The 14,167-nt window shown below is 33.4% G+C and overlaps 1 protein-coding gene across 9 annotated transcripts in view, besides 1 other annotated feature; it reads left to right on the top strand.

Moving 5' to 3' along the window:
• ROBO2 (roundabout guidance receptor 2) overlaps positions 1–14,167 on the top strand; it is a 1,743,290-nt gene that overhangs the window by 43,044 nt on the left and 1,686,079 nt on the right. The gene's annotated exons all lie outside the window — the stretch shown is intronic.
• Positions 9,676–10,875: an enhancer, noted in NCBI's record as "CDK7 strongly-dependent group 2 enhancer chr3:76008545-76009744 (GRCh37/hg19 assembly coordinates)". NCBI's record gives its function as "activates an origin of replication core promoter dependent on BRD2, BRD4, P300/CBP, MED14 and CDK7 cofactors, with strong dependence on CDK7, by STARR-seq in HCT116 cells {active_cell/tissue: HCT116}" and the evidence as "EXISTENCE:reporter gene assay evidence [ECO:0000049][PMID:35650434]".

Genomic DNA, 14,167 nt, shown 5'->3' on the forward strand with positions numbered 1-14,167 from the left:
CTCACTAGTCTAGAAAACATTGCTGTGACAAGTTACCAGAAAAATAAATTCAGATTGCTCTACATTCCACAGATGACCCTTCTGAAAGCTATTTGAATTCATTATAAATTGTAGTTATATTAGTATGACTTTAATTCGTTATCTGAACTTTATGTGCAATGCATTTTTTCTCGTGTTTAATCATTTTTGTATGCTAAATCATTTGCAAACAAATGGCTTGTCCTTGAGAAAGAATTTAAGACTGAAAGTACATTAAGTGCCATCTGGGAATCTGTGTCAATGGTTTTATCACTACATATGCATGTGTGTGTGTGTGTGTGAGTGTGCATATCACCTACTTTCGTCCATTTATTTGATAAAATTCATATGCAATCTCTAAATCATTGTGTCTCCAACTTGTGTTATCCCACAAATTCAAATTTTTATCCTAAAATTGGTGGTACCCTTTGTAAAACTAGAAGCTCTCATTTGTGCAAAGGAAGGAAAAATAAAACAAGAAACAAATTCAATAAAATATTAAAGGTCAGATTTCTTTTATAGCTGCTGAGTTCCTTTCTTTCCTTTCCATCCTCCTCACATTCCCAAATCTCAACAAAGTTAAGAAATTAAAACACACATCATGAGATCATATGTTCACCTTTGTTAAGGAACTGAAGGATTACATATACAAGATTATAGCTTAATAAGTAGAGGGAGAAATATGAAGATATAAATAGAATATGAAAATTTATTATAATGCAGTTCTATTCTAAAGTGTTTTCTAGGCAGGCGAAGAGTATGTTGCCAGGAAATGTTAAGAGACCCACTCCATTATATAGAAGAGGATGTGTGTAGATCTCTTAATATTGAAATGTTTAGAACTGAGTACAGCAGGTCTTTGAATAATGACATTTCATTCAATGTCATTTCATTATAATGTTGATGAGAAAAAACAAATTGATTCCAGTTGGGGTTCACTGTCTGTGTAGAGCTTATGTATTCTCCCCATGTCTGCATGGATATTCTCTGGATGCTCCAGTTTCCTCTCACTTCCCAAGGCTGTGCATGTGAGGTTGATTGACATGTCTATGTGGTTCCAGTCTGAGTAACTGTGGGTATGTGTGAGTGCACCTGCAATGCTATGGCGTCCTGTCCAGGGCTGGTTCCCACATTGCGTCCTGAGCTGACAGGATAGGCTGTGGTCAACTGCAACCCTAAACTGAAATCAGTAGGTAAATAATGATTTTACTAGTTTTTATTAATCTTAAATATATAAATAGCTCAAATTCATTTCAGCATTTAATGTTAGAATTGTTTTGATCTTTATTTACAAGTTCGTTGATGTTTTTGTTACCAAAAGCCATAGAAAGTTAACTCTTTTTTATGTCAACCTATGGTAAAATGGGTTTCACTTACTGTATTTTGGCACTAATTAACCATCCCCAATTTATCCCCCCTGTATGCGTGTATCAAAACATCACATGTGACCATAAATTTATATACCTATTACCAGTTTTCAAGAACCTATCAATGATGTTCAGTGAAGACTTATTGTAGTCCTTTTTTGGCATAACAAAAATGTGTGTGTTTTGTTTGAGATTGGAAAACGTCTTTCTGTAAAGAACTGGACAGTAAATATTATAGGCTTTGCTGGCCATATGCAGTCTCTGTCTCTCCTTCATCTACTCGTTCTTCTTCTCCCCTTCCTTCTCCTTCTTTAAACACTTCAAAAATGCCAAAACAATTTTTAGCTCTCAGCCATATGAAACAAGCCATTGATTAAATTTGGCTTGTAGGCCCATAATATGTGAACTCCTTTACATCATCGGAATGCCATATATATATGAAATGTTATTTATGAGAAATTAATGGTACTGCCAGCAGACAGAAATTAGCCTAAGTTAAGTTTGGGCTTTGGAATTCAGGGGAATGCCATGCATGAAAATGCTCTGCTTTTAAAACAAGTTACTAACAATCCATTTCTGATATCAGAAATATATGAAAACTACTAATTGAAGGGGCATTATTCACTACCTTAGTGCTGCTGCTCATGTGTGGTGGAAAAAAAAATCCAGAAAGTTTTCCTTTCCATTTGAACATTCATGCAATAAAAATGTCCAAATCTTTTTTTGAACAAATTTTTATCTGATAGCTCCCTTGTGTACTTTATAAGTACATTTTGCTTATTCTCAGCAACTGTATTGAAACAATCTCTGTTTTCCTTTATCAATCAAAATAAAATAAGAAATTTAGCTTAATACTAATATTAAGCTGAAGTGCAAGATATATGGAAAAGAGAAAAAAGAAGCAGGATAAATTGACCTTTTGATAACTGCCAAGGACAGCAAATCCAACAAAGACTGGACTTCAATGTCTTACATTTTCAGAATGTAGCACAGTAAGTCCACTGGGTCCAGCAATAGGTTTTAATCCTACATTGAAATGACTCACAATGCTGTCATGACATTGAGTTTTGTGGAAACAGTGAAGTTAATGTTCTTCTCAATATTTTTTTTAAACCAAACTATGATTGATTTAACTATAAAATGGACTGATTCTAAAGAGCTCATTCTGACTTGGGAGGTGAAAATGCTTTTACTCTAATCATTAAAATCAATTTCTCTAGATTTCTGATTTTATTCTGCTTTATAACATAAAGAATGAAACTATATTTATTAATGAAATGTAATCTAGCAAAGTGGCATAAGCATAATTATCAGTCACTTACTAAAATTGTGTGTTTTTTCCACTGCATGAAAACCCTGCCTTGTTTTAATTTTTATTAATTGACTTTTTAAAAGCAATTTTAGGTTTGCAGAAAGAAGTGAATAAGCATTCACATGTCATCCTCAGCCTCTACCCCAATTTCCCCGATTTTTAACATCTTGCGATAGTGTGGTACATTTGTTATAGTTGATGAGTCAATATTGGTACATTATTATTGACTAAAGTCTGTAGTTTATATTAGAGTTTACTCCTTGTCTTATGCATTCTATAGGTTTTGTCAAATGTGTAATGACAAATAATCCTCACTACAGTGTCATACAGAATAGTGGATTCACTTTCCTAAAATTCTTCCTTGCTCCATCTATTCATCGCTTCCTCTCTCTCCTCCAAATCCCTAATAGCCACTGATCTTTTTACTGTCTCCATGGTTTTGCTTTTTCCAGAAGGTCATGTAGTTAGAATCACATGGTATGTAGACTTTTCAGACTGGCTTCTTTCACTTGGCAATATGCATTTAAAGGTTCCTGTGTGTCTTCTGTGGCTTGACAGAATAATATTCCGTTGCCTGGATATAACACAGTTTATTTTTCCATTCACTTCCTGAAGGACATTTTGATTTTAGTGATCATGAATAAGGCTCCTATAACATTCATGGGAAGAAGGTTTTTGTGTGCATGTAAGTTTTCAAATCCTTTAAGTAAATACCAGGGAATGTAATTGCTGGGTTGTGTGGTAAGAGTATGTTTAGTTTTGTAAGAAACTGCCAAACTGACTCCCAAAGTAGCTGTACTATTCTGCATTCTCAATAAAAGTTCCTGTTTCTCCTCATACTTGCCAACATTTGGTATTATCAGACTTTTGGATATTGGCCATTTTAATAGTCATGTAATAATATCTCACTGTTGCTATGACTTGCAGTTCCCTAATGATACATGACTAGTAACTTCAATATCCATATTTGACAGCTGTATTTAGACCTTTGGCCTATTTTTTAAATGAGTTGTTTTCTTTCTTATTTTCGAGTTCTTTGTATACTTTAAATACCACTAATTTATCTGACATGTGTTTTGAAAAGATTTTCTCCCAACCTGTGGCTTTTCTTTTCATTCTAAGCACAGTTTGAATAACAAAAGTCTTTAATTTTAATAATGCTCAATTTCTCAATTTTTTCTTTGTCTAACCCAATAAATCAGAAAGCTTTTTATCATTTCACATGACTTAATATTCAGGCAGGGTGTATATAGGCCCCTTTCAAACAGTCATAAAGTTTAGAAGCTCTCACCTCACAAACAATAGCAACAACAATATAGAAACAAAAATGACAGCTTTTGATGTTGTCTCAGTAATTTCTCAATTCAAGAACAGATTACTGAGCTTTACAAGCAATACATATAGACATCAATTTCACAATAAATACCTTATGATATTTATCAAATCACCTTAGTTTTGGTCTACTTACTGCTATTAGACTAAAATGTAATTTGTCAGACATGAGAAATCTTTTTGTAGTATTTTTTATAGAACCAAGTGTTTATTTTAGCTTTTTCAGTTCTTCCCTTGCTGTTTCTCCAGTATGGTCATTCCAATTGTCTCTATAGATGTATTAATACCAGGTACATAATAAATACAATTATCTCCCATGTGTACCCCAACCCCCTTCCCTGTTCATGCAGTCAGCATAAAGGAAGCAGGTCAAAAGGATATCATGTACCCTGTGATATGCTAGGTTGTAAGGAAAGGTACAAAATTAATTTACCATGTCTGAGTTTTCTTCTTCTCTGTATTTGTTCCATTTAATGCATGTATATTTTTTTATTCCTCAGGCGTCTCCAGTCCTACCACTCTCAAGGACACTTGATACAGCTATAAGGCTGTGTCTTTATCAGGTCCCTTTGGGTTACCTCCAGCCAAGGGTGGGAAATAGAGGAAGTGAATGTCTGTATCTTCATTATGTGTCACACAGAACAGAAACATAAAGAAGCCTGTGCGGTGAATGGGTCTCCTCTTTCTCCAAAAACCACCTACCCCTTCAACTCCTACTGCTTCAAGGAAAGTCTTGTATTAGTTTCCCCATTTTCCCCTCAAACTTGCTTTAGCAAAGTAGTTCCTAAACCTCTGTTAACGTTATGTCCCCACCCCTAACTCAAAACACAGTCTTACATCACATCACAGAAAAGAAGTTCAAAACAAAACGAAACAAAGCCACAGTCTTATAAGAAAAATAGGTAAGTTTTACAAAAGTTGTGTACTGTACCTCTGCTTTGAATTTCATCATTTGCCAAGGATAGTAAAACTCTTGGAAAACTATGAAACAGGAACTTACTTAATATGTTTTACCCAAGATTTTTCGAACATTTTTGGAAGGATACTTATTAACATCTTGCAGAGGTAATGTTACATGAAAAACTTAGCATAAGACCAATCAGGTATTCTATGCAATAATGTAGATATATGAAAAAATAATATAATGAAATACATGACTTTTCAAAAGGTATTGATCCCAGATCCACATTCTTTTTTTGGTTCAGGTGAGGCAATTAGAATGTCAAAAAATTAAAGAAGCATAGAACAAGCGTCTAATGAGAGGGACGAATGCGCCTGGGTGGAAAGTTATTAGAAGATAAATTAGTAGATTGACCTTTTTGCCATCTATGTAGTTTGTTTGTTTGTTTGTTTTGCTAGTACCAATAGAAACAAATTCATTTTATGGTTTGTGTCACTGGAAATGTATAACTTAGTGGTAGCTATATAGCAAACTTTCAATATGTATAATGAGAGATTAGATGTAGGTTTAATATCATTATTTAATTTATTTGCTTGGATACCAGTGAGGAATTTCCACTTAAGCTCGTGTTTTCAAGATGAGTGTTTAGTTGAATTCCAGAATTCATTTTGAAATAGAACTTTGCATAGAATATAAATTTCTTTGCAAGAAAAATCATTTGTACACTTGGGTTTGAGAGCAGTTTAATGTCGATATAACTTCTTTCCAGGCTTTCCTTTCCTACTTTTTGATGTGGGAATAATCTCGTGACGTGATTGTGAAAGTCTTAAAAGATAATGTTTAGGGGGGAGGGGAGGGATGGCATTAGGAGATATACCTAATGTAAATGACGAGTTAATGGGTGCAGCACACCAACATGGCACATGTATACATATGTAACAAACCTCCACGTTGTGCACATGTACCCTAAAACTTAAAGTATAATAATAAAAAAAAAGATAATGTTTGCAAAGATACTCTGTGCACTCAAAGTGTGCTCTATACACTTCATTGCCATTCACATTTTGGGTTTATGAGGCTTCCATTTGCTGGCAATTCAAATGTGACTCTGAGTTAGATGTCGTGGTGTGGGAGATATGTTTATAGGAGTTTAAAGCACAGATAGACAACTAGATTGTCCTGCCCACCCAGACTGTGCTTCTCACTCTCACTGTGCCCTTTCTTAACCTTTGGAAATGCTTTTATTTATATATAAAATAGGCTATAACTTCATATAGTTGTATTACAAAAAGTTAATGCACAGAAAAAGACTTGTGCTAGGTATATGGTTTCTTCTCAATTAAATGGAAGCCATTGCCTGTATTTGTCAATAGAATTCATCATACTTTATCTCACATATTCAGTGCTTTACATCACTGTTGGCACATGATATGTTTAGACTGCACAAGGGTGAATTATGTCAAATTTATCTATCTGCAGGAAAGAATGTAGCCCAAGGTACCTTGTTTAGCTGAGCCAAAGTTTGCATTTATTAAAAATGTAATTTTTGTCTTGAAATGATGCCTGATCTCACAGAACTATGGCTTCCAATCTCTAAATCACTGTGCTCAGTAGTACAACTATGTACTCTGTGTCCGTCCTAGTAGCTATATTGCTGGGATCTGGAGCGTGACTTTTGGGTCTTTCTGTAATGCCTTACCTCTCGTCAAAATTCACAAGACCTGCTCTCTGGATTGTGAGACTTATGCATTACAAATAAAAAGGTGCTGTCCTGATGGCATTCCAAAGCCATTTGAAATGAGTTGCTTTGGTTTCCAGTGAGTCATTTTTTATGTTGACTATCATTACTTTACCATTACCTTTTAATTTGGAAATGTAAAAATCCATTGCCATGTTCCTTGGAATATAGGGTCCTTGGAATATAGTGACCCTCATATAGGGTCACTGAGATGAGCCTGGAAATATCAATCACTGGAGCCCTTCTAGTGGGATAATGTTGTTGTTAATATTGCTGGTATTGTATTCTTCACATTTCCTCCAGTAAAATGTAAAGTGACCAAAATGTAAGTGTCATGCAGGCAAGGGTTCTTTTATTTGTTCAATGAACACTGCCTTCACGTAGTGGTCAGTTAATATTCACTACTAGAATGCATGTTGAATGGCAGCTCTTTTATTTGCCATTCGCATTGGCCCACTTTATAGCAGTTGGACCAAAAAGTTGGACAAAGTGTGTTGATCTTTTATGACAAAATAGATATCTCTTTCTTTCTTTCATTGTTGCTTTTTCTGTGGGCAAGTTGATACACGTTGTAGCCCTGATGTTATTTTAGGGCATACAGTTGAAGTTATTAGATACTTTAGAGTTTATTTAATTATAATATGAAGCTTTGAGTTTCTGTTTCATTATTAATTTATTTTATGATAGTGTTGCTTAACTTAGTGTGCAAGGCCTACAAATAAACCTAATAAATATCTTACAAACTGCCTTAAAATATATCTAATGTTTTTTACTGAAATATTTTTAAACATATTGAAGTTGGAATTCCAGGTAACTGTATACACGCACACACACACAAAACACACACGCACACACACACAAAACACACACACACACACACATACACACATTAGGTTTTCATTTGGTTTCTTTGTTCCTATTATTGAAATTCCTGTGCTAATAACCATATCAATTTATGAAACTCATTTTGAGAAAAAAAGGCCTAAAATATAACTCATTTTTAAAATGATTTTCTCTTAATTTTTAATGTAATATTTTAATAAAATATGGTAGGGCAATTTTGTATAAATATTTATGCTAAGCTTTCTACATAAGTTCCCGCATATAGTTTAGTTTTTAATAGAAGGTTTTTTTTTTTTACTTCAGTATCCACTTTAAAGTCAATGACATTTAGTGTTTTTTACTTTACAGTTCTAAGTTACTTATGCTTAAAAAGTCATCTGACTTTTAAGTTAATGTCCAACTTGATTGTTATCTCTCTACATGTTATTGATGCGTTCTTGAAAGTAGTTAGATTTTGAAAAACATTACTAAGAGGGTTTTTTTTTTTCATCTTTGGAAAGTAACTTGGGATAAATGGTTGTCTTTTGTCTTTGTCCTCCTCTCTACACACAACTCCCCATTCCAGATCATTAGCTGAACTTGTGTGCTGAGGTTAATATTCTGTTTTACCTTTCTTGTCAAATTGCTAGATACAGCTTTGTTCAGTTATATACTGTACAAACAGAATCTCATCTTAACTTTTTAATCTCTCTCTTTTTAACTGATGTGTTCACCCTCAGATTTGTTGTCATTTAGAAGAGGACTTCCTGTTAGAAATATAATAATTTTCCTTCATGTGGAATCTTCAATACAAAAAAACAGAAAAACACGTATAAATGGTTTGCATGTGTCATGCTGATAGTTGGAGGGCAACTGATATTAGAAAAAGTGACACTATCTTTCTGAACATAAACCTTGTTTCATCTTAGAATTTAGAATTTGGTGCTGAACCAATTTTGTACCTCATTGCTATAAACCTAATGAGTTGTTAATATGTGATTAACTGCCTTGGCCAAACTCAAGATCTTATTCACACATACAATATGCTCAGATAACTTATTTTTATTTGTTCAATCACTCCTTTAGTTTTTCATTTATTTCACAAACATTCATTGACACTTACGTGGCAGCACTCTTATAGGAATAGAATATACCCTGTTAAATCAGACATGATACTTGCTTTTGTGGAGCTTATGCTTTAGTGGAGAAACAGAAAGTCAAGCAAAAACTCAAACTATACAACTTTAAATTGGATATGTGCTAATGAAGGAAAATGTGGCACTGTAAGAAAAAATAATAGGGAGTTAAAGGATAAATAGGAGTTTGCTGGATGAAATTTATGAAGGGCTGAGGATTTCAAGCAAAAGAAACTGATGCAGGAGGGGGCAGCTTTGGAGTCAAGAATGAAGTTCTAGGATATAGAGAGCAAGGAAGTGGTGGGAGAGGAGGTAAAAGTAGGTAGGATTTTATTATTATCAATGGGAAAATATTGAACAATCCTAAGCAGAAAGGCAATGATATATGTTCATCTTCATTACAAATTCTTATATCTTTAGTAGACCTGTTTTCAGGCAAAACTTCATGAGAGAATAGTAACAAAGATAAAAAAAGCAGTGTTCTCAAATTATCTCTAACCCACCTGGTAACTTTGAGTTAAATGGCCTCAACATTTTGTGATGCTTTTCCCTCTTATAAAGTAAGGAGTATAGATGAGGTGAGGTATCCAATTTCATTTAGCTTCAATTTCCTGTAATTTGACGGCTGTCAAGCCATGCTTTGCTTTGTTCTGTTTGTGAGTCAGAGCAACTTTAAGGCAGTATATTAACTAGGAGAACTATTTCTTTACTTTTAAACTTCAAAATTATGATGACATAAGTATTTTAAAGAGCATTTAGAAAGTAGACAAATGAAAAATTTTTAACATTTTGGAATGCTTCTTTTATTTCTTTTTGAAACCTAGGTTTTTGGTGGTAGTGGTGATATTTATTTTTGCCAAACTAACCATTCTGTGTAATTTTGTAGCATTTTGGGTTGATGACCACTGTAAGTCTAGTATTCCCATACGTGTTAAAATTTATCTTTACAATTAATATATTTTCACTGAATTATTTAATTATAAATTAAACTATAATTTCAAATACATGTTCAATGAGATATTATTAGGCATTACCTGAAAAGGATTTCTGGAGAAAGAAAGAATTTCTGGTTAAAAAAGGGTTGAGCAGGTTTTCCTAGTGCAGTACTCTTGGTCTCTAGGATGGAGCTACAGCGTAAAACATCTTCCAAATTTACTTCACAAATTAGCCCTTAGATTTCATGAATTACTTATAATTTTTGTTTGTAGACCACAGTTTCTTTGCTCTTCAGTATTACACTTGCTTATGTGAGTTTCTAAAACTAAGTTTAATTTTGGAAATTCTTAATTTTCTATTTACATTTTGAATTGTGTTTAAATATAAAATTAAGTTTAGTAGAAAGCTAGGTTTTTATTTCTACCTACAAATTCAATGTCCCATCAATAGAAAAAAATTCTCAATAATATTTTAAAGTTACTTACTTTAGTCTTTGTCGTTAAAAAATAAAATTTACCAGGCAGAAATGCTCCATAAGCTACCTATGGAGGAAATATAAATATTATTATTACCTACTAATATTAATATACAAAATGGTCAATTATGTGTATAGCAGTTAAATATATATAAAAGTTAAATATTTATAAATGATACAGGACTCACGTGTTTGTATGCCTGCTGTGCAGTCACAGTCTGATATATTGATAAACAGAGTTTGCAGTAGAGAAAGAGTTTAATGATTGCAGGGCAGCTGAGTGAGGAGATGCGAGCACCCTCAAATCTGTCTTTCCATAGAGTACTTTGCTGGGGTGAGGGGATTGTAGAGGGCCAGGGGCTGGAAAATTGGGGTCACTGACTGGTTTGGGTGAGGGGGATTAAATCACCAGGATGTAGAAACTTCGCCCTTTAGTGAGTCAGCTTCTCCTGGAGTCCTTCAGAGCAGCTGATGTCAGTAGTTTCACTGGTATGTAGGATCTGAAAGAATACCTCAAAGAGAAAACTTAACATTTCACAATGCTCAAGTTGTTATCTATGAGTAGTTAAGTTTAACTATAATCTTGTGACAGGATATAAATGATTGTGGGGCCATACCTAGTGAACAATTATGAGGAAGCAGGACAGACAGCAAGTTAACATAATGTTTAAGGCTGGATGTGCTGGAAGCTTGTTTTTATTTCATCCCCTCCCTCCTTTCCCAAATAATTTTATAAAGATTATAGGGGTGGTTTCATTATATATATAACTTCTAATATTTTATCGGTTAATAAAAGCTCAAATTTTCTCGACATTTTTGTTGATTAAGCTAATAAGGTGGCTTTTACCAATGGATCTTGAAATGTGGTATGCTAAATGAATTTCTGTTTTCAAAAAGAATTGTGCATGATCAATAACTCACTAAAACAGTAGGCAAGTAAACTATATCACTAAGACAGTAGGCAAGTAAACTATATTTTTAAATTTACTAGTGGTGCAATCTTGTGCAAGTCACCTGACACTTTATGCCTTAATTTCTAAAAGAAAAAAAGAGAACTTCCTAAATTACAGAGTTGGGATCAAATATGAATTAGAAATATAAATATGAAGATATTGGAAATATTAGAAATATGAATATGAAGGTACCTGCCATAGTGTTAGTGACTAACATATACTTAACTATCATTGACAAAATTATTATTCTTTTCTTTTTTGAAATAATGGAGACATAGTAGACAAGATTTTGTTAATTTGAGGTGTTTTAACTCTTTATTCAGTAAGTTATTTGTAAAAATTTACAGGAAGAACTGAAGGGATATAAAGGGTTCATAATAAACACAGCAGATGATTTCTGATCCTTAAATCCAGAAACTGGGCCCTAGTCTATTTTGCTTTCTTATTTCTAGCAAACTACCTAGAAAAAGTTGGAGAATGGCACTTTTTTTTATTGATCTCAGCTTCAAAAATTTCAAATGTAGTTTTTCATTAGTAGTAGTAATTCAAGCTAGAACATATTATATATTTAACATTACACTAAGTGATTTACTTTTGTATGTTATTTAACCTTAAGAATATTTCATGGATATATTTATATTTATTTTTACAGATTAAAAGATTGTTATTAGCAGAGGTTGAGTAACTTGCTGAACTCTGATACATTGCTAAGGAGTAATTGACCTATAATTGAGTCCGGTTTCTTCTAAATACTATGCTCCACTGTAAATACATGAGATTACAGGTTAAAGTTTGAGAATTACTTCTAAGTAATAAATAGCTCACTCAATTTTAATATCGATTCTGGTAAACTTCTTTATAAAGGGTGTAGCATTCTTTATAATGTTTGGGGCTGGGTCAGGGAGAAGGTAATGAAAAGAGAACAGAGCAGATAAGAAACATTTTGCACATCTGACTTCCAAACTGATCCTCTAAATAGATTTTTTTATGCTATCTCATCAAACTGAAACTTTTTGATGGATATAGAAACAAAAAATATTGTATTAAAATATTGAGAAAGATTGAGGAGAAAGATAGAAAATTTTTTTCAAGAGAATCAAACTATATTATTTAAGGTATATTTCTGTGTGAATCTTGAAAGTAGGGAAAGAAATATGTCAGCAAAAATACTAGAAGTAATTTATTCTTTCATTGTCACAAAAACATTAATCAATTGATTAATATGTAGCAATCATTAATCTAGGATGCTCTTGCTCTGACTTATATTCCTTTCCCAAATATTCCAAACAATGACCTTGTATTAATAAAAGAAGACATTAAAGTAGTATATTGATATTTTACAAGCACTAAGAATGTATATTTTGAAATTTTGTGGTGATCTGATGAGTGACTTTGAGTCTCAAAATTAGAGAAGTTTCTAATAATTCTGGATTAAACAAAATGTGAAGGGAGTTAATCTTGAAAGCAAAAGAAAAATAACTCATCCATAGAAGGAAACGACTTTATGATTAACATCTGACTTTTCATCAGAAACAATGATAGTCAGAACACAATGGGATAGCACATCCAAAGTGCTGAAAGAAAGAATATTTCTTTCTGTTTATGTCACCAAAGTTGTAATGTGCATAGGATTTATATGTAAAGGGGAAAAACTTTAAGAGGAATTAGACATAGTCAATGGAAAGAATATGACCAATAATGTGTTCTAGGTCTGGCTTGGTTAGATATAACGTGTTTAACTTTGGATAATTCATGAATCCTTTGCAAATCTTTGTTTCTTTGCCTCCGATATAACTGGGCTGAAGTCAACACTAAAAAGCTTGAACTCCAAATATTGTGTATATCTGTTATTTCAAGTTATCTTTGCCTCCGATATAACTGGGCTGGCGTCAACACTAAAAGCTTGGACTCCAAATATTGTGTATATCTGTTATTTCAAGTTAGTATATTTTATGTTTCCTTCTTGATGGAAGCTTGTCTTATTTTGTTCTCTACAGTCTGTATTTTTTTCTTTTCATAATTCTGTAGCAATTGTTTTCCAAATATAAAAATAATTCTTTCGTGCTGTGTGAAAATACGTGTGCTTTTATTTAAGCTGCCAGACAGATGTGTTATTTCAAGTGGGAGACTATGATTTTTCTCTACAGATGATGGGTAGGGTTTTGTTGTTGTTGTTGCCGTTTGTTTGTCTAACTTTACCAGTAGGTAGATTATTTGAATGACTGATCTCATTAACGATCATTCCTTCTAAATCTGTCTCCTTTCCTTCAGGTCTTTCACCTGAGTGACATTAGAAATTCTCAATACAGTTGGTATTGTGCCCAGCTAAATCCATCTGATTTTTACTTTTAAAAATGGCAGGTTGATGTAACATTTCATCATACTATATAAAAGAGAAAAATCAGAGCAAAATATAATTGACAGTTTTCTGAGTTTCTTTTAGTCTTAAGTTTTGAAATTGTTTTTATCTATTTTTATTTATTTATTTATTTATTTACAGACAGGGTCTCACTCTGTCACCCCGGGTGGAGTGCAGTGGTGCAATTATGGCTCACTGTAGTCTTGATCTCCTGGGCTCAAGCAGTCCTCCCAACTCAGCTCCCAAGTAGCTAGAACTACAGGTGTGTGCCACCACACCCAGCTTTATTTTTTATTAAAGAAAAAAATGTGTAGACATTAGCTTTCATTATGTTGCTCTGGCTGGTCTTGAACTTCCAGCCTCAAGTGATCCTCCCACCTTTGCCTCCCAAAGTTCTGGGATTAAAAGTGTGAACCACCTCATGAAACTGTTTTTTTAAAATTGTCATTATAATACTTGATAACATAAAATAAACGAACTAAATCAAACATCTGAAAATGATGCTAACGTAGTTGGGTGCTGGCTTTAAAAAGTCCATTATGTCCTTTACCAATTATGTTAGTTTTCTAAGGTGGCACTTAAACACATGCACACACACATAGACTGGGTGGCTTAAACAACAGATATTTATTTTCTCACAGTTCTAGAGGCTGTAAATCCAAGGTCAAAGTGCTCCTCTGAGGACCACGATGGAAGGATCTGTTTTAGGCCTCCCTTCTTGGCTTGTAGGTGGTTGCCTTCTCACAGCTCTGTCTTCACGCAGTTGTACTTCTGTGCATACACGTAGCTGATTTTTACCCCTTTCCAAATTTTATTTT

Source organism: Homo sapiens, chromosome 3, assembly GCF_000001405.40.
Source record: "Homo sapiens chromosome 3, GRCh38.p14 Primary Assembly".
Lineage (NCBI taxonomy): Eukaryota > Metazoa > Chordata > Mammalia > Primates > Hominidae > Homo > Homo sapiens.